Source organism: Homo sapiens, chromosome 19 (assembly GCF_000001405.40).
Source record: "Homo sapiens chromosome 19, GRCh38.p14 Primary Assembly".
NCBI lineage: Eukaryota > Metazoa > Chordata > Mammalia > Primates > Hominidae > Homo > Homo sapiens.
Window position 1 is genome coordinate 33,680,633 of NC_000019.10, and position 21,091 is coordinate 33,701,723.

The 21,091-nt window shown below is 52.2% G+C and overlaps 1 protein-coding gene across 6 annotated transcripts in view; it reads left to right on the forward strand.

Annotated features, from left to right (window-relative positions):
• Positions 1-21,091, forward strand: part of CHST8 (carbohydrate sulfotransferase 8) — a 151,557-nt gene that overhangs the window by 58,680 nt on the left and 71,786 nt on the right. For 2 of the 6 annotated variants that reach the window (NM_001127895.2, NM_001127896.2), the window contains one exon: positions 8,544-8,759. In NM_001127895.2, coding sequence (NP_001121367.1) covers positions 8,630-8,759 — 130 coding nt within the window. In that variant the 5' untranslated portion in view covers positions 8,544-8,629. Of the gene's footprint in view, positions 1-3,895; positions 4,568-5,278; positions 5,932-6,048; positions 6,183-6,645; positions 6,969-8,543; positions 8,760-21,091 lie in introns of those variants that run through there. The other 4 variants (XM_011527224.1, NM_022467.3, XM_011527222.1 and 1 more) reach the window with 4 other exon arrangements.

Here is a 21,091-nt window from a genome sequence, read left to right on the forward strand (position 1 = left end):
TTAATAATTGTTTGCATTTTTAAAGTGCAATTTGCAATTGAAAAGTGCACAAAGATCAACCAGTAGTTGCTAACACATCAAATTTTCCTATTAAAGGCACAGTCCCTTAACTTTAAAATGTTTCTTATACAACAGGGGCTGGAGCTGATCCATGGAAATGACTATCTCTTATTTACGTGCACAACATTAGAATTGGCTTCCATTCTGCATGAGCTGAAAGGCCAGTCACTTTTATTTGTAAGTTTTGATTTCTTTAATTAAATTTTTAATTTTGAGATAATAATATATTCATATACAGTTGTAAGAAATAATGCAGAGAAATCCCATATATCCCTTACACACTTTCCCCAATTGTAACGGTTTGCAAAACCGTAGAACAGTATTAAAACCAGGATATTGACATTGATACGGTCGAGATAGAGAACATTTCCTTCCCCACAAGGATCCTCGTGTTGCTTTCTTCAGATCTTTAAAAATTAAAGATTTTTGAAGGAAAAAGGACCCTGTTAGATTTCTGCCTTGAAACGATAGCTATCACTAAATGAGGCACTGTCCCAGCTGGGCTCAGTGGAGTTCACACAGAGGAATGGTCCCCTAGGTCAGGAGTAGCCCAGGTGGAACTCACCTCAGCCAGGGAGGCCTCAGGGGAGCACAGCTTTGCACATCAGAAAGAACCTGAGAACAGTTTTCAGTTTGACACTTGCAGTGTGGCCTTTGATCCCTCAAACAAGGACAGGGTTGTCAAGAAGGGAAACAGCTTGGCTGGGCTCATGTGGGCCACAGGGGCCCAGTTATCCCAGGAACAGGGATAACTGTTCCTTCCTAGAGTGTAGAACTCTGGGGCACAGCCCTGGCAGCCTCCCTGAGGACATGTCATGGGACCAACCCAGTTCCCTGGTGAGGGACAGGCGGCAGGTGTGGGTGAGGGGTGCCCTTGACTGAAGCCTACCTGGCATGCTTGAAAGTAACCCTATGCAAATGAAATTCACAAGGTGCCTCCCTGTTTCAAGACATTTGTCTCACACCAGAGCTGCAGGGAACTTGGGAACTCATCTACAGCAGGTATTTTGGATGAGGACTGATTCTGAGATAGGGAAACTCAAGTCCTGAAGATCAGACTTAAGTGGAGGGGAAGTCAGGCCAGAGAACCTGGGGTGCCCTGCTCTGAGCCTGATGGCTACCCTGTGACATCCAGATGCCTTGTTCAAGCTGCTTCCACTGAGGGTTTTGGGTTTTGCTTTTTTTTTTTTTTTAACGGAGTTTCGCTCTTGTCACCCAGGCTGGAGTGCAATGTCATGACCTCGCCTCACTGCAATCTCCACCTCCCATTCTCCTGCCTCAGCCTCCCGAGTAGCTGGGATTACAGGTGGCTGCCACCATGCCTGGCTAATTTTTGTATTTTTAGTAGAGACGGGTTTCACTGTGTTGGCCAGGCTTGTCTTGAACTCCTGACCTCAGGTGATCCACCCGCCTTGGCCTCCCAAAAGTGCTGGGATTATAGGCGTGAGCCACCGTGCCTGGTGTGTGTGTGTGTGTGTTGTGGTTTTTGTTGTTGTTTTTTTTTTTTTTTTTTTTTTTGAGACAGAGTCTCGCTCTGTTGCCCTGACTGGAGTGCAGTGGCGTGATCTCGGCTCACTGCAACCTCTGCCTCCCAGGTTCAAGCGATTCTCCTGCCTGGAAAACAGGCATGCACTACCACATGCAGCTAATTTTTGTAATTTTAGTAGAAATGGGGTTTCACCACGTTGGTCAGACTAGTCTCAAACTCCTGACCTCTAGTGATGCACCCAGTTCATAATCATTTTTAAGTGTACAGTCCAGTGGCATTAATTACATTCACATTGTTGGGCAACCATCACCACTATCCATCTCCAGAACCTTTTCATCATCCCAAACAGAGACTCTGTACCCATTAAACAACTCCCTGTTCCTCCTTCCAGTCCCTGGTAACCTGCATTCTACTTTCTGTCTCTATGAATTGGACTACTCCTGGTACTTCACACAAGTGGAATTATACAGTATTTGTCCGTTTGTGTCTGGCTTGCTTCACTTAACATGATGGCTTCAAGAGTCACCCATGTTGTAGCATGTGTTGCTATCATTGACTTTTTGATTGACACATGCAAGCTGTAATTTTTTGGGGGGGTTCCTAGCATCACAATATATTTTAAAGGTTTGGGGATGCATTAGTCCACTTTTGTGTTGCTGTAAAGAAATACTTGAGGTTGAGTAATTTATAAGGAAAAGAGGTTTAATTCGCTTGTGGTTCTGCAGGCTGTACAGGAAGCATGGTGTTGGCATCTGCTCGGCTTCTGGGGAGGGCTTCAGGAAGCTCACAATCATGGCAGAAGGCAAAGTGGGAGGAGGCCGGTCACATGGCAAGAGAAACAGTGAGAGAGAGATGAGTGGGGAGGTCCTAGACTCTTTTAAACAGTCAGATTTCACATGAACTGAATGAGAACCAACTCATCACCAAGGGGATGGCACCATGCCATTCATGAGGGATCCACCCTGTGATTCAGTCCCCTCCAACCAGACCCCACCTCCAACACTGGAAATCACATTTCACCATGAGATTTGGAGGGGACACATATCCAAACCATGTCAGGGGACAATCAGTCAATTTTGTGGCATCTCAATGGTGTGTGTCTTTTGTGTAAACATTGCACCTGTTAATGTGTATGTATATGTAGAGGGAGAATCAACATTTGTCTTTAAAAGTGTATTTGTCTTCAAGCTCTGTGATCTGAAATCTGTCATACTGACATGAGGAGGCAAAAGTGAGGTCCTGGTGGCGAGCGGGCCTCGGGTATTTCAAGCTTTAAGGCTCCACTGGGCTCCCTGGGGGCCGTTTCTTCCTTGCTTCTTCCTTGCCTCCTGTCATAGGATTGGGCTACTCTTTGGACCTGATTCCAAGGCAGCTCTGAGGAAAACAAACCCTCAGCTCCCTGAAACATAGATGACCTTTTTAAAATTCCAGGTTCATGGAGTGCCTCTCTCCAGATGGCCCCAAACACTTCCATCTATTAACTCGTGCTCATTCAACGTGCAGCAGAGGCTATTGATCACCTTCCCTGTGCCGGGGACTGTGCTAGGTGCTGGGAATACAAAGATGGGGAGAGGCCTCGATGCGATTCCCGATTCAGAGGCAGGTGGCAAATGCTTTTCCCACAGTGAGGGAAGGGCTGTCACCGCGATGGTGCTCTCAGGGAACCAAGGTTCACACATTCAGGGAATTCGGGGCACTGAGTCAGCATTCTAGACTCTGCCAGGATGAGGAGGAGCAGGGGACTCAGTTTCTTTACATGCAGAATGACTGTCCCCTGCCCTGCCCCACTGGCATAAAATGTCCTCAACATGTAAGAAGCCCTGGGCAGAGATAGTGTCCAGGGTGTGGTCAGTTGACGTGGCCTGTCAGTCTTTGGCCACGCTCTCAGGCCCCCCTCGCTGTGGCTGTGTGTTTGCAGGCGCCCCTCAGACTCCAACTGGAATGTGTCCGTGATGGTGGGAGGCCGGGCTGTGGTGCTCCTAGTAGGGCTATGGTGGCAAGCTTTAGGACCTTGTGAGCCTGATTCACCCGGTAATCTCCACCTCGGAACGCCCTTTCTCCCCGCTGCAGAGCATGGGGCTGGGGGGGAGTGGAGAGAACCCTGCCTTGTAACAGGGCAGCGGACAGCAGGTAAATTGCCTTCCCCGGGAGTAGCGTGCCGCCCGGCAGGGGCCTGGGTGTGCCAAGGCCCGGCTCTGGGGATTTCAGGACCCAGGCCAGCGCTCCCCAGCAGCAGGGCAGGAGGCAGCCTGAGAGTCGGCAGCCCCGCCTTGGAGTCTGAGCACTCGCGCCCATCCGTCAACCTTGCAGAGCATTGCAACTTTATGCCTACGCATAAAAACTGGAGGGACTCGTCCCAGAGTTTGCTGCCGCCGCCGCCGCTGCCATTAGAGCGGTTTTAATTAGCTGCAGGATTTTTAATGAGCTGAAATCAAGAAGAGCCCCATCTCAGAAGTAAGCGAGAGCCGCGCGCAGGGAAGAACTAGTCTGACAAAACAGAAGGAGGTGGTGCTCTCGGGGGACTGGGCTGTAGGCTCCCACCGATCGATCGGCGACGAGCAGATGAGTTCCCGAGGCCAGGAGGCTGAGGAGGGAAGCCAGGGCTCAGAGACCAGCGCCCGGTGCAGAGTCCCCGCTGCTGCCACCGCGGCAGAAGGCACGGTGCCGGATTCAAGGTGACGGCAGTGCCTGGCTCCATTCTCCTCAAGTTGCCATAGCAGCCTCTCTCCCAACAAGCAGCTTCTCCGGGAGCCCTCAGCCGGGAGGGACGTCATTGTTCTCTCCTGCCCGTGTGGTGCAAGGAGACCCACCGGACAGAGAACTTTCCCGAGCCCGGGGTCCGCTGACCACGTGGGTGCACCCATGCTGCCTGGAGCCAGGCACAGGGACAGGTCCCCACGGCCACAGGGAATCCTCTGGGCAGCTGAGGGGAGCGTCCAGGCCCAGAAGCAGCTGCAGCCAAGCGTGTCCTTGGAGCCGTCCATGCGTCTGTCCGCCTGCTGCCGGTCGCCACTGGAGGTGCGTGTGTTTTGGCTGAATTCCCAAGTCCTTGCTTGTGCCCTGAAGTGAATTTCTTCAAAGAGACACATTTTTAAATCAAATAAATAAGGAAATGGGAGGAATCCTTCGCCCTGCCCTGTGTCCCAGGAGGGGTTTATAAGATTAATTGGATCTTTTTTTTTTTTTTTCTTAAAGTAAAAATTGGTGACGCCATTCAGGCCTGGGGGAGAAAAGCCACCAGGAGGACTAGGAATTGTGAGGCCAGGCAGGAGCTGCTGGAAACTCGCTGGGGCTGTTTATTTTTCTTGCCTGAACCCTCCCTCTTCTCTGCCCCTGGAAGGCTGGATTTTCTTATTGTCTGTTGGTCTTGGGATGGGTGTAAGCAGGTGAAGGCAGGTTTTGCCCTTGTCATCGGAGCTGAGAGTGATATAGTCTGTGATGAGGATGGGACAGTCCCAGGTGGAGGCTGAGGCCTGTGACTGTGTTTATGCCTCATCCCCCAGCCTTCCAGGCCCCAGCCTGTGACAGATGGTGGTGTCCACTCCCCAGGCAGCAGCTGGACTCCCAGGAGAGGGAGACAGACAGCTCTTAGACCAGCAGCTCCTGTTGCCTTGAAAACAACGTGCGACTTGGAAGCCTGGGGTCCTCCGAGGAACAATAGAGGATTCTACACCCCCTGGAATGCCCGGGGATCTGTCGGTGACCACCCTCCCTTCCCACACCTTAGGGGAAAGGAGTGTTCTATAGAGTCCAGTTGGCCAGCCATACTGCTGGCCAGTTACCCAGGAGGGGAGGCACGCTGACCTTTTGATTCCTGTTTGCACGGAGCAGGGAGTTAGCTGGTCAGATGGTCCCCAGTGAGAACAAACACAGAGCTGAGGGTCCCAGAGGGAAAAGCTGGGGTCTGAGGCTTAGGGGCTAAACCCTGAAGCCACAGACGGCTCCAATGCCAGCTTCCCTGGGTATAGAGAGAGGGTGTTCGTGTTCTCTCGGGGGCCAGCAAAGGCAGGGTCTTTGAAAGGGGAAACGTGAACAGATGAAGCTCCACCACCATGGAGGTGTGGTCCTGGGTCTGTGTCTTCTTCCCCTTCCTGGATTTGGGGGCATGGATCTGGTCCTTGCCCTGGCTCCCAGGCACATGGGTGGCTGGAGCCAGGCATCATGGGGTGGGTTTGGTTTGGGGCGGTTCAGAAACAAGTGAGGACAGGTCTTCGCTGCAGACCCATTTAGTCCTTGACAGTGGATGTCGGTACTGGCTCGAATGGAGACAGACTGGGGAGAAGAGAGGACCGGCCAGCTCTCTTGTAACCACTCTGCAGCGCCAGCTACTGAACAAATGAGATGATGATCACACATGCTCCCGAGTCCCCTTTGTTCATCAGGTAGAGCCTGATATTGAGGGACCCATTATTAGCTGTTTTACCAGGCAGTTCTGGGCGCTAGCCATGAAGCTGTTCTCCTTCCTCTCTCCCTCCTTCCAAAATGTCTTGATGTTGGAGGCTACCCTAGGTCAAACTGGCTTCCCGGTGTCTGACTCAGGAGGCTGCAGGAAGCGCACCCACACCGTGGCCAGCTTACTCAGGGGCTCGCGACAGTTGCTTTCCAGCTGGGGCCTTGCTGGGGACCATCGATGGTATGTGTGCAGGCACTGGCCGGCATGCACCCGGGCATGTATGCATATGTGTGTTATTGAACCCGCGTCTGCTTAGGTCCGTGGGTGCGGTGCACATGTGAACACCGTCCCCATGACCGTGCAATAGCAGCTGCTCCCGAGAGACCTTGCAGGTTCTTCCTGGTCCCCATCTGAGAGCCATGGCCCCCCTGTGTCGGTGCGTGACATCTTTTCCATTCTTCTAACTCCTTTCTATGACTGCCTGGGGCTCCCCCGAGTGAGGCTGGAGAGAACAGCTTTGCCTGCCTTGTCAGCTGCTCACTCTCTCCTGAGGCTTTGGGGCTGGCCCCGGTGGGGCTGGGACTCTGCAGTGCAGTGCTGTCCTCACAGAGGGAAGGGCTTGGGGGACGGTAGGGCATCGCAGCCTGCTGTGGGGCTTACAGTGCTGCATCTGTGTCTTTGCAAGGCAGTGAACCCCAGGTCCTCAGGATGGCCTCATCCAGGGCAGCCATGGAGAGAGAGGCCCCAGCCCCGCACAAGGGGCTTTGAGTCTGAGCCCTTGGGGACACATGAGTGTCCATTTCTACTCTTTGCAGGCAAGGCAGGGGTGGCCTCGGTGGATGACAGGAAGCAGCAGTTTGTCTTTAGGGCAGAGGCCATTGCAGTGAGGTCGGAGCCAGCCTGACACCCCGGAGCCAGCTCCAGAGACAAAACAGGCCCAGCTCAGTGATTCTGTAAAAAGCTGGAAGGCCGCAGGAACCAACTGCTCGGCACAGTCCAGATAGCCCAGCGTCAGGTGCCTTCCCGGTGCGGAGAGGCCTGGGGCGGGTTAATTAAAGTTAACTGAGTGAAAAAATAATTATAGAAACTGCAGAGGGGAGAAACCCAAACCTGCAATTTACCCTCCCTAGCCCTTGAGCTTTTCAGAACCATCTGGTCGTGGGGAGTCGTGGGCAGGGGAGCAGGGAGAGTGCCTCTTCCCATCTCTCATGCTCCATGGACTGGGTGTGGGGGCTTCTTTCCCCAGTGCCTGGGTCCGTGTTGGGGAGGAGTCACCCGGCTGAAGTATTGTCCCTGGGCAGGGAGATGTCCTTGGGCCGAGCAGCATATTTGACCTGGGGCTTAAACAGCCACCCAGCTGTGGCCTCAGAGGCTACTGGGAGCTGCCTACCTGGCCTCACCTCCCTCAGGCACTGACCTGTGCCAGGGTGGGGATGTTCCCTCCAGCGCTCTTGGGTGGAAAAAGGGTGATCCTCTCGGCCTAGCCAGCAAGGCCCGCTGGAAAGTAAGGGGACAGAGTGACTGACCTTCAAAGCGGGGTTGGGGGGTCCCTAGAGTGCCTGCCGCCTGTGGCTCTCTCCCCCTGTACTCTGCCCATGCCCTCTCTACACACCACTGCAGGAACTTATATTCTTCCTTTGGGCAAATGGCCTTGGGGTGCCCCCATCTCCATGCACAGCCTGGCCCTGTTGGCGTGACTGGCTGGTATGTGGGGGATGGGGAATTTCTCTCCCTGCCCTCTAGGAGGAAGCGGGGTAAGGGGTGAGTCACATGGGTATACTCTGGGTCTGCAGTGGCTGGAGCAGTTAGTGCCCACCCCCAGGAACACGAGGGGGTGTTAGTACCCAGCCTCTGCGCCTCTGAGCTTGGAGTCTGTTGGACACAGGTCTAGCTGCCCCACCTCCACTCCAGGCAAAGGGCCTCGAGCACAGGGACTCCAGTGGTCTGGCCAGAGCCTCAGCTCCCTCTGGTGTGACTGTCCAGAGGGACTGACATACGCCAACCCATCTGTCAGTCCATCAGTGAGGACAGCCCTGGCTGTCACAGGAGAGTCCGTCTGTGCTTGAATATCCTTTGAGCCTAGCAGGCTCCTTTTCAGAGCTGCCTGCTCTATGGAGACCTTGTCCCCAGTGCCCTACAGAGAGAAGCAGGGTGGAGGCACATCCAAGAGCTTCTCTGCCCACCGGGCCGGGTACCAGGGACAAGGACCCAGGTTCCCGCCAGTACCTAGGCCCCCGCCCTGGGAGCACGCATGCTTATTTGGAGGCCTGGACAGTGCAGGGGGTGGCTGCTGGTTACTGACTGGGGGCCTGGAGGTTCCCAACTGGGCTCCCCAAGGCAGGGCCAGAGGGTGTCTCATTCCATGATTTGTCCAGAGGTGCAGATACAGGAGACCCTGGTGGAAAGCTAGCATTCCAGCCACAGGTGGGAACAGGCTTCCCTCAGCCTCCTGGGTGTGAAAGGATGGAAAGGGCACCCCTGGGTAACTTGTAGAGGGCAGAGTCATCCGGGGATTGCACTTGGATTGCTGCAGTGAGCAGGGCCTACACCTGCCCGGGTGCCTCGCGCCTCGGTGATGACTATCCCTCCTCTGCCCCGTAGATCTCGGCCTGATGGACGCCTGGTGTGGACGATGAGGGAAGAACGTGCCCCCCACACCCAAGAGGTGACCCCTGAGCCAGCCCCGGATGACCCTGCGACCTGGAACAATGCGGCTGGCCTGCATGTTCTCTTCCATCCTGCTGTTCGGAGCTGCAGGCCTCCTCCTCTTCATCAGCCTGCAGGACCCTACGGAGCTCGCCCCCCAGCAGGTGCCAGGTGAGTCCTTGCGCTGAGTCCTGCCATCACTGCCCCCAGCTTTCCAGCCTGAAGCTCAGGCCTCCACAGCTGCCCTGGTGTGCTGGGCTTGGGGGAAAGGGGCAAGTCTGTGCCAAGACCCCCGGCAGGCAGAGTCCTGGCTTCCCGGGGAAGGCGTTAGTCTCAATGTGGGAGTGCTGTGTCTGATGCAAGACCTCCAGCCAGTGCCTAGCAGCAGGGTGGCCCCTTTTGGGAGTCATGGCAAGGCTGCTGTCTATTGAGCCAGTTGTTGCCCTTGATGAAACTCAGATTTAAACAGGATTCCACCACCTCTCAGGCCTCTTCCACATTGTCAGGGACATCAGAAAGTAGACAACTTCTCCCTGAGCCCATGCCCCACAAGCAAGACTCAGTTTCCCTGCCCAGCCCTGGGGAATCTAGCCTCTCTGGTCTGGACAAAGGGGGTCAGGGTACCTCCTGGTTTAGTGAGGCCAAGACCCCCTCCGAGGGTCCCCCACTGCTACTTCCATTCCACCCCTGCCTGGTAGCCCACTGGAGTCACAGAGGGCTGCTGGGAACAGGTGGGATGGCAGGGAGGCCAGAGCAGGAAGGGTGATTCTGGCATCTCAGGGCAGACGGAGTGTGGAGAGGGAGTTCAGGCAAGGTTTCTGCTGCCGGGACACGGTCCCCATCCCCAGAGATATGGAAGGACAGGAGGTCAGCTGGCAGGGTGCCAAGGCCTGGGAACTCTCTGCTTTGGAGGGAGAGGAGGGGAGGTGTCTCAGCAGTGGCCCCTGTTAGGGGCAGTTCCATGAAGCCACACACTCACAGTCCACATGCTCTAGGGCATGGACAAGCTGGTGCACCCCCAGAGACACCGCTCCTCTGCAGGGACACCCACTCACTCTCTCTTGCTTGCTCAGTGCTGTGATCCAGAGACAGGATGAAAGAGAAGGGGGCCAGAGGTGTAGGCAGAGGGGTTGCTGCGTAAATCCCTGCCGGAAGCCCAGAGCACAGGAAGGGGTCTTACTCTGCAACCGCTCCGCCCCCATTATGGACGAGCACCCATGATGTGTGGCCTTTAGTGCAGATTGAGGGCCTGTGGGCACCAGGAAGGAAGGTGAAAAGAGCACAAGGAGGCCAGAGCTGGGGCCCTGGGTCTGGCAGCTGCCAGAGGCTCCCCATGGGCAGGCGAATGAGTTGAGAGTCAGAGGGAGGCAGCCAAGGCGGTGGCCTCCAGGAGATGGTGGGCGAGTCATCGGTGCTGACTCACGCCTGTGCCGGGCCCCCACAGGTGGTGGCTGTCAGAAGTGGGTCTGGCCGCTCCCAGGCGTCTGGAGCAGCAGGTGCGCAGCAGAGCCGGCTCTCCTGTGGGAGCTTTGCAGCCTCACATGAGCCCCAGAACAGCTCATGACACTGCATTGGCAGAACAGGGCCCCTCGGGACAGCGCCACCAGGGCAGACAGCGAGCTGGTACCTAAGGTCATGTGTTATCTGCATAGAAGCACAGTCAGGAAGAAGGGCGAGCAAACGCTGACTGGGTGTGTCCTTGGTGTGTGCGTGGTTGGGGGTGCATGTAGGCAGAGGGTCCAGGCGGCCAGTACCCACATTCTGCAGGAGGAGCCTGGGAGAGGAGGCATGAGTGTGCCTGTGATGCCCACCTGGGACCAGGGCCTGGACCCATCGGTGGGACACTCCTGGATGGGACTGTGGTTTGGTGGCTTCAGCTAGTGCCCTGCCCTGCCGCAGCAAGAGTGCTCACTGCGCAGGTCCCTGTTGCCCTGCCCAGCTTCCCGAGTGCACATACGTGTGGATTACAGGTGGGCTGGGGACCCAGGGGACGGCTGGGATTTCTGGGAAGATCGGATCCTCAGGCTGGCAGGGGATGTCAGATGGCACGGAGCCGAGGCCATCATCCCTTTGCAGCTGGCAGACCTGGCAAGGAGCACACGTGGGTCTTCTGATGGTCCATGCAGCCAGACCACCCTCACCACGTGCCAGGTGATGGGCAGACTTGACGGTCTGGGTAAATCACACCAAACACAGTCATAAAACTTTAAGTAATGCTTACGTTACTTTCCCTGAGCAAAGTGCCTCTGACACAGGCTGTTTGTGTTGATTTGTTACTATTCATTTATTCCTTCCCTGTACTTCTCACGGCAGCCTAATTGTGATTCGGTACCAAGAAAGCAATATCAAAGTAATTTTCCACAACATTAGTTACATTTTCTTCTGATCTTTCAAGTGAAACAATCCCATCCTGTTGGCTTCTCTGAGCATATAAACCTTGATTACATTTATCTGTTGGAAACCAGTGCTTACAAAGTGTATGTGTCCAGTTGCATGGCTGGGTGGCCCCAAGGGCCCTTGACAATTCTCCCTGTGAATTTCTGTTGGTGGGAGGAACACATTCTGGGAGTTGCCCTGCCATCCTGATCAGGCAAACAGGCAGGTGTTGGGGTGGAGGGCTGGGAGTGGAGATGAGCGGATCTACGGAGGAAATTCCATACCATGGCATGAACTGTCCTGGGGACGGAGTTCTCTGGGAGCTGCAGTTTGTGGCACAACAAATGTAGAAAGGGGATGGGGAGTGGCGGGAATTCTGAGTTGCTTGAGGTCCCTTGGGGCCTGGCCTCATTCACGTCCCTCCCACGCAGCCACCGGATATTAACAGCACCTGAACTTTACATGGATCAGCCAGCCAAGCTCACCTGGCTCAGGCAGTAGATGGAATTGTAGGGGGTTGCCAGACTTTTGTAAATCAAACCACATTTTAAACATTTTTTTTTTACTACAGTCCAAATCAAATCTTTGGAAACAGGAAGAGCTACCCAGTAAGCTATCCGATGCGAAGATGAAGTTTTGTGTAACAGAGAATTCACTTCTCCAGTTATAATTCTTTTCCAGTCTCCAGGATTGCCAGGCCCTGAGGCCAGAGCTTCTGCTTTCAGGAAATTCACTTTTTGACCCAGTAGACAAGACTTACCTCTTCTCCAAGAGAAAGACTTGGAGACCAGGCCAGAACCAGGAATAACAAACACCAATGGCCAGGTGTGGTGGCACGTGCCTGTAATCTCAGTACTTTGGGAGGCCTGGGTGGGAGAATCACTTGAGCCTAGGAGTTCTAGACCAGCCTGGGCAACATAGCAAGACCCTGTCTCTACAAAAAAAAATAAATAAAATTAGCTGAGTGTAGCGGTACACACCTGTAGTCTCAGCAACTTAGGAAGCTGAGGTGGGAGGATCCTTTCAGCCCAGGAGGTCGAGACTGCAGTGAGCTGATTGTGCCACTGCGCTCCAGCCTGGGTGACAGGGCCGGACTTTGTCTCAAACAACAAAAAATTCCCAATGTACTGGCTCTGGGGGCTGCAGAAGGCTGACTCCACATTTGGTCGAGCAAACTGAATTTTACGAGCTGCTTTCTTTGTGAATGTTTTATCATAGCGAATTTGGAACACATGCAGTAGTGGAGTAGGATAGTGCCATGAACACCACATACCGGGCACCCAGCACCCCCCACCAACACCAGGCTGGCCCCATCCATAGCACCATCCACTTCCCTCCTTTCATGTGATTTTTGAAGTCTATACCAGACATCCTATCAATTCAGCTATAACTATTTCTTTTTTCTTTCTTTCTTTTTTTTTTTTTTTGAGATGGAGTTTCGTTCTTGTTGCCCAGGCTGGAGTGCAATGGTGCGATCTCAGCCCACCGCAAACTCCACCTCCTGAGTTCAAGCAATTCTCCGGCCTCAGCCTCTCGAGTAGCTGGGATTACAGGCATGCACCACCACCCCTGGCTAATTTTGTATTTTTAGTAGAGACAGGGTTTCTCCATGTCGGTCAGGCTGATCTCGAATCCCCAACCTCAGGTGATCTGCCCACCTCGGCCTCCCAAAGTGCTGGGATTACAGGTGAGAGCCACCGTGCCCAGCCTCAGCCATAAATATTTCAATATATTTCTCAGTTTAAAAGATAAGAACTGTTTTATTGACATCACCACTGAACTCATTCCTTAATAACATCAAATTTAATGATTCCTCAATAGCATCAAATAGTCAGTCAGTGTGCAAATGTCTGTCTCACAAATATAATTACCTTTATTTCCAATTTGTTCCATCCAATATCCAGAAAAGGCCCTCACATGGCAGTTGGTGGATGAGTCTTTTAAGTCTCCTTTAATCTGTAAGTTTCCTTCTCCATCTGTATTCTTCTCTCACTATTTATTTGAGGAAACCAGGTCACGGTTCCTATAGAACTTTCTGTAAATTGAGATTTGGCTGATTGGGCCTGTCTGATAAGGATTCACGTTGTTCTCTGTTCTTTGTTGTCCCAATAAATTAGGTGAATCTTGAAGCTTGATCAGATACAGGTTTGGATTGGTTTTTGTTTTCTTCTAGGGGAGTTTTGGGGGACAGGAATTCATGGGTGGTTCTGTATTATTCCATCAGGAGGCTCCTGTCTGCCTGGCTGTCTTATGTTATCAGCCGCCAGAGATCGTGCCTAGATCCAGCCATTCATTAGGGGTTACACAGTGGCAATGTTCTGATTTTATCACTCCTTCTTCATTCTTTTAAGTGGAATGGATTTTGTTTTAATGGGGCAAGGTGAGTCATTGTCAGTGACCCATGAAGCCAAAGTGAGTGGTGTGGATTGATTGGTTTATTCATAGATATGTATATAAAACTACAATGTTACCATACAGATTCTGTTGTAGTTTATTCATATATATATATATATATATATATATATATATATATAAATGCAATGTTACCATACAGATTCTATTGTAGTTTATTCATATATATATATATATATATATATATATATATATATATATATATATATATAATGTTACCATACAGATTCTCTTGCTGGCACACTGTAAATAGTTCGTTCTTTTAATGTTTGGCTTTTGCAGAGTGAGTTTTCTTTAAGTGGGGCTACCCCATGTTTCAGAGCCCTTTGCCTTTTCCTGGAGTCAAGGAGTTGTGGGTGGTGGTTCTAGGGTGCCCAGTGGGGAGGCAGCTGTGGTGGACAGCAAAGATCCCCCTCAGGGACCCCTGGCACAGACAATGGGATTGGACAGCCCCCGATGACTCCTAGGTCTGTGGCCTGTCTTGGGGCACTCCTGCAGGGCATGGGGAAATTTAACGATGAAGATAATAATGAATATTGACTGAACATTTACCATGGGCCAGGCCTCGTATTGAGAACTTTACTTTTTTGAGACAGAGTCTCGCTCTGTAGCCCAGGCTGGAGTGCAGTGGCATGATCTTGGCTCACTGCAACTTCCGCCTCCCAGGTTCAAGCGATTCTCATGTCTCAACCTCCCAAGTAGCTGGGATTACAGCTGTCCACCACCACACCTAGCTAATTTTTATCTTTTTAGTAGAGACGGGGTTTTACCATGTTGGCCGGGCTGGTCTCGAACTCCTGAGCTTCAGGCGATCTACCTGCCTTGGCCTCCCAAAGTGTTGGGATTACAGGCGTAAGCCACCACGCCTAGCTTTACATGTTCTAATGCATATAATTTCCCTTCCCTTCCCTCCCTTCCCCTCCCCTCCCCTCCCTTCCCCTTCTGTTCCCTTCCCTTCCCTTCTTGAGGCAGGGTCTTGCTCTGTGGCCCGGGCTGGTGTATAGTCTTGCCATGAAAGCTCACTGCAGCTTTGACCTCCTGGGCTCGAGTGATCCTCCTACCTGAGCCGCTGAGACCACAGGCAGACGCCACTACACCCAGCTATTTATTTTATTTTTTATACAGACAGGATCTTACCATGTTGCCCAGACTGGTCTTAAACTCCTGGGCTCAAGTGATCTCCCGCCTCAGCCTCCCAAAGTGCTGAGATTACAGGTGTGAGCCACCACAACTGGCTAGGTATGATTCTTACAAATAAACGATGTCTAGTTTGAGACAATGTGCCAGCACTCACTGGGGCAGACACAGAAGTAGCAACAATACTGATACTAGCTAATGCTCTCAGGCCCTCGAGATGAGCCAGGCACAATCACAAGCACTTTTCATATATTTAATACTCATTTACTACTTTTAAAATTTCAATAGTTTTGGGGGTATAGGTGGTTTTTGGTTACGTGGGTAAGTTCTTTAGTGGTAAATTAGGAGATTTTAGGGCACCCATTCGTCACCCAAGCAGTGTACACCATACCCAATATGTAATCTTTTGTCCCTCACCCCCCATCCCAGCCTTGTCCCCTGAGTCCCATAGTCTATTGTATCACTTTATGCCTTTAGGTCCCCACAGCTTAGCTCCCACTTATAAGTGAGAACATGCGGTATTTGGTTTTCCATTCCTGAGTTACTTCACTTAGAATAATGCCCTCCCCATCTATCCAACTTGCTACAAAAGACATTATTTTGTTCCTTTTTATGGCTGAGTAGTATTCCATGGTGTATATATACCACATTTTCTTTTTCTTTCTTTCTTTCTTTCTTTTTTTTTTTTTTTTTTTTTGAGACAGAGTTTTGCTTTTGTCTCCCAGGCTGGAGTACGGTGGTGTAATCTCAGCTCACTGCAACCTCCACCTCCTGGGTTGGAGCGATTCTCCTGCCTTAGCTTCCTTAGTAGCTGGGATTACAGGTGCCCACCACCACACCTGGCTAATTTGTGTATTTTTGGTAGAGACAGTGTTTCACCATGTTGGCCAGGCTGGTCTCAGATTCCTAACCTCAGGTGATCCCCCCACCTCAGCCTCCCAAAGTGCTGGGATTGCAGGCGTGAGCCACCGCACCCGGTCACCACATTTTCTTTATCTGCTCATTGGTTGATGGGCACTTAGGTTGGTTCCGTATCTTTGCAGTTGTGAATTGTGCTGCAATAAGTATGCATGAGCATGTGTCTTTTTCATATGATGAGTTTTCCTCTGAGTAGATACCCAGGAGTGGGATTCCTGGATTGAATGGTAGTTCTACTTTTGGTTTTTTAAGGCAGGGGTCTCCAACCCCTGCGTTAGGACCCAGGCCGCACAGTAAGAGGTGAGTGGTGCGCGAGCTATCAAAGCTGAGCTCGGCCTACTGTCAGATCGGTGGCCACATTAGAGTCCAGAAGAGCTCGAACCCTCTTGTGAACTGCATATACAAGGGATCTAGGTTGTGCGCTCCTTATGAGAATCTAATACCTGATGATCTGTCACTGGATATATTACATGTAATAATATATCCATGTATATACATTATATATTACAATGTAATAGTAATAGAAATAAAGTGCACAATAAATGTAACGTGCTTGAACCACCTCGAAACCACCACCTCCCCACCCCCATCTCCCTTCCCCAGACCGTGGAAAAATTGTCTTCCACGAAACTGGTTCCTGGTGCCAAAAATGTTGGGGACCGCTGCTTTAAGGAATCTCCACACTGTTTCCCATAGTGGTTGTACTAATTTACATTCCCACCAGCAGTGAAAAGCGTTCCCTTTTCACCACATCCATGCCAACATTATTGTTTTTTAAGTTTTTTTTTTTTTTTGAGACGGAGTTTTGCTCTCGTTGCCCAGGCTAGAGTCCAATGGTACAATCTTGGCTCACCACAACCTCTGCCTCCCGGGTTCAAGCGATTCTCCTGCCTCAGCCTCCCAAGTAGCTGGGATTACATGTTCTAATGCCACCATGCCTGGCTAAATTTTTTGTATTTTTAGTAGAGATGGGGTTTCATTATTTTGGCCAGGCTGGTCTCAAACTCCTGACCTTGTGATCCACCTGCCTCAGCCTCCCAAAGTGCTGGGATTACAGGCGGGAACCACCTTGCCCAGCCTGTGAGCCTTTTGAGAAATGTCTATTCATGTCCTGTGCCCACTTTTTGATGGGATTATTTGTTTTTCTCTTCATTTAATGCTTTATTTTTATTTATTTATTTTTTGAGATAGAGTCTCACTCTGTCACCCAGGCTACAGTGCAGTGGTGTGATCTCAGGTCACTGCAGCCTTGACTTCCTGGGCTCCAGTGATCCTCCCATCTCAGCCTCCTGAGTAGCTGGGACCACAGGCACCCCCCTCTTCACACCCGTCTAACTTTTGTATTTTTGGTAGAGACGGGGTTTCGCCATGTTGCCCAGGCTGGTCTCGAACTCCTGGCCTCAAGTGATCCACCTGCCTCGTGCTCCCAAAGTGCTGAGATTATAGTCTGAGCCACTGTGCCCGGCCTCATGTAATACTTTAAAACCCCTATGAGTGAATTATTATTACACCATTTGAAAAATGAGACTATTGAGGTAAGAGAGGCTAAGAACCGTACCCAAGGCCACGCAGCTTCTGGGCTTCAGAGCTAGGATGTGGCCTGGGCGGCTGCCTGTGGTTCACTGTACCACACTGTCTGCCCAGCACTTGGGGTACCCAGTATTGTTGTGTTCCGGACCTGGAGCAGAGCCTGGGCAGAGAGAACAGTGTGGATAAAGGATTGGAGTCCTGAGAGAATGCGGCACGTGGAGAACTTTAAGTGATTTAGGGGCTGCAGCATGACCTGTGGATCTAGACTCCTGGCTGAAGACACAGCCGGCCCTGGGCCCAGCAGGCCCTTGCAGTGTGGTAGAGGATCCAGCCTTGGCCTCTGGCAACAAGGAGCTCTGGGGACCCCGGAGTAGGGAGTGGTGCATCAGAAAGCTCATTCTGGGCTGGGCGCAGTGGCTCATGCCTGTAATTCCAACACTTTGGGAGGCTGAGGCGGTGGATCACCTGAGGTCAGGAGTTAGAGACCAGCCTGGGCAACATGGCAAAACCCCGCCTCTACTAAAAATACAAAAATAAGCCGGGCGTGATGGCATGGGCCTGTAGTCCCAGCTACTTGGGAGACTGAGGCAGGAGAATTGCTTGAACTCAGAAGGCAGAGGTTGTAGTTCTTTTAAAAGAACTACAATCCTTTATCCAGTGAGCTGAGATCGCGCCAACTACAATCCTTTATCCAGTGAGCTGAGATCACGGCAACTACAATCCTTTATCCAGTGAGCTGAGATCGTGCCACTGCACTTCAGCCTGGGCGACAAAGCGAGACTCCATCTCAAAAAGAAAAAAAAAAAAAAGAAAGAAAGAAAGAAAGAAAGAAAGCTCATTCTGGTGGCTGCCTGTTGTGTGGCCGTGGGCAGAGAGCAGACAGGGAGAGGCAACAAATGCAAGGAGATTGGGGGCAGCCAAGGATATCGCATGCAGTGTTGGAGACCTTTCAAATGAGAGGACAAGGAGGTGAGGAGGGCGGGGAGGGCAGTGGTCTTGGTTCAGGGGGACTTGGGTTTCTGGCTCTAGAGGAGGGAGGTTGGGGGTGCCATTCACTGGGGCAGATGTGCCAGATGGGGAGAGGTCGGGGCAATGGGGCAAGAGATCACAGGTTCCATTTGGGGCTTATGGTGTCTGAGATGCTTGGCAGGGTGTGTGGAGTCTCCCTGTAGCTCCTCCACCGAGGGGTGTCCAGCCCCACAGAATGAAGGACCAGGCAAGACAGGCAGGAAGCCCCCACCATGCCCTCGCCCCTCTGCACCTGCGTTTCCACTCACAGGTCGACACACTCACTCCTTTACCCTCATACACCCCAGGCCTGGACGCTGGCACCATGCAGGGTGGGGAGGGCTATGGGAGAGCCTTGCCCTGGGAGAGGGGCTGGCAGCTCTGGACTTACATCTACTCCACATTTCCAGGCCAGGAAACCAGTATCCTGGAAGCTGTCCCTGCTCCCCGTTGGGCTGGATGCCAGCATGGAGATTCATGCTTTTCAGCCCAAACCTCACATTGTCCTGGGATGGGACCTCCATGCCTGGGTCCCTGGGCTTGCCAGCCACAGGGAGAGATCTGTACATGCCCATCTGTGTGAAGGCCCTGCAAGCCCAGCCGCTTAGCTGTACCGAGGCAGGGGAGGGGTGCACAGGGAGATGGAGACACGGGAGGAGGAAGCTCGGGCTCTGCTCTCGGGAGCTCACAATCTGTGGGGGTCAAGGAAGGAGGTTATCCAGGCCCTTCCTTACAGGGTTCCCAATCTGGGGGCAGTGGAGGGGAGACCTGGCCCTGGCTCAGCGGCGCCTGGGGGACACTTAAGGCAGGTTGTAAACCTTTCTTGAGAGGTGAGTGCTGAAGGAGCCAGGAGGACTTCCTGGAAGAGGGGAACTGTGGGCTGCTTGTTTGTCCTCTCTAGTGAACAGGAGGTGCTGACCTCCAATGGAAGCAGTGAAGCGGGCTTGGGTGAGATTCCAGTGGAGCCAGGGGTCTCCCTCCGCAGCACGTGCTGCTATGCGTCATGCCTAATATCTCACAGCTAGAAATGAATAGAGCCAGAAGTCCAATGCCCGCGGGTCTGCCTGATGCCGGGGCTCTTGTTTTGATGTCCTGGAGGCAGCGCTGTGTTGATTGGAGAAAGTGTGGCCTTCACTCTGCGTCCCAGGGTTACCAGGGACACACTGCCCTGCCTGTGCCTGTTCGGAGGACCAAACTGCAATGTCAGAAGGTCTGTCCAGCTCCTACAGTGACTGTCATGTTCTGAGTGTGTCCCCCTGGAGCTCTGAGACAAATGCCAGGACAAATGTCGTGGGTGGGCCAGGACCACAGGAGCGCCTGCTAAGAAGCTCTCAACAGCTCACCCAAAGGAGGGTGATAGAGGCAACAGAAGTGCAGCGGCCACCCCTACCTGCTCTCTCTGAGCAGCTGGGCCAGGTTGGCTGCAGGGGAAATATGTCTACTGGCCCTCTCAGAGAGAGTCCGGTCCTCGCGCAGCTGGGCGTCTAAGCCCAGACTCCTTCCTGGGCTGGTACCTGCCCCTCCAGTTTCCATGGAGCCGGCTGCTTTCCCCGGGCAGGTGGGTTTTATTGGAACCCTCTTGCGTCTGTTTCCTGAAACCATTTTCTAACGGCATTGCGGAACATCATATATATTTCCTACAAACCTTGGGAGGCTGACACATCCTTGTTGTGACTGTGAACATCAGAAGTGACATGTAATTGCAGTGATCCATCCTGTTAAGTAGCTGGCAATACATTATCTCAAAATCAGCAGGGCTGGAACTCTCAGAACCCAGTGTTTCTAAACAATGCACCTGCAGCTTCAAACTCTCTTCCTGAACAGCGCCCAAGGCTGGCAAGGGCCACCTCGCCCTCCCATGCCTCACTTTTCCTGGGCCACAGCAGAGACAATTTCACTCCAGGGAAAGCCACCTACTGGGTTTTCAGTACTCCTGGAGTGCCTTCTCCTTGTCACCTAATGCACCAGGCTCTCCGCTCAGGGCTGTGGGTGGGGTCCTTGTCACAGTGTTTCTTCCAAGCGTGGCTCTGGAAGTCCTGCCCTCCTTTTTTCTCATAAACTCCAGAATGTCTTCGTGGGGGTTCCTCCTAGGCCAGGCCAGCCATCATTATGCACAATTGGAGGTGGGGAGGGGCAGAGAGGGTGGCCAGAGCCCAGGGGCACAGAAAGCCAAGCCCCAGTTGCTACTTTGCACCCAGCAGGGACACACCCACACTGTGCTTTATGCTAATTCTGGGGTATGGTTCACATAGATTGCAGTGTGAAGGGTGTCCCCTGGAGTTGTGCAAAGACCAGTACTGATGGAGGGATGGACATGGAGTGCTCCTTGCGTGGTGATTGCCCAAGTGCCAGAAATAGGCAGGGTCGGAACATGGAACCTTCAGGTCTGGATACCCCGAGCCTAGTGGGTTTGATGCGTCTGGGCGGTGCTAGCTTTGGGACCATCATTGAATTCTGCTGTTTGAGGGTGGGGGTCATGAAGGACCTTCACTGCCACACTCCCTGGGAGGCCCTGATTTGGAGGGGGAGCCCACTGTGGACCCTGTCTCTGCAGTGAAAGTTTCTCAGTTCAAGCCTCTCTCACCTGAGCCCAGGCCGTTCCCCTTAGCAGTGCCATCCTGTGTCTTCCCAGTCTTCTACGTGGCCACGATTTCCTGGGTTCCTCCACCCCCTGCAATTGGAGTGAATATTCGCCTCTTCCTGCAGAAGACACCCTGGGGGTCTCTAGCCAGAGCCTCACTTTCCTTTGGTACATTAAAATATGCTAAATGAAAAATAATGAGCATGTAGGAAGTAATAACAGGAATCACCTAATTAAATTAGGAAACAGACATCACATCGCTGTAATCTGAAAATTGATATTAATAGAAACGGTCCCAGAATTGTTATGCTAAAAGTTCCTAGGGGCGGGGAAATTAAAAAGGAGAGCAGAATAGAAAATTGGGACAATCATGTCCAATAAGAGTGAGACTTATGTTTTAAAAGGAACTACAGTAACATGCTAAAAATAGAAGAGGAGATCTAATGAAGTCATGGACAAAAGTGGCTTTGAAAACCGCAGAGCTCCAACGCACGTGTATGATGGTAATTTATAAAATGAGACAATGTAATCAAGCTTCAAT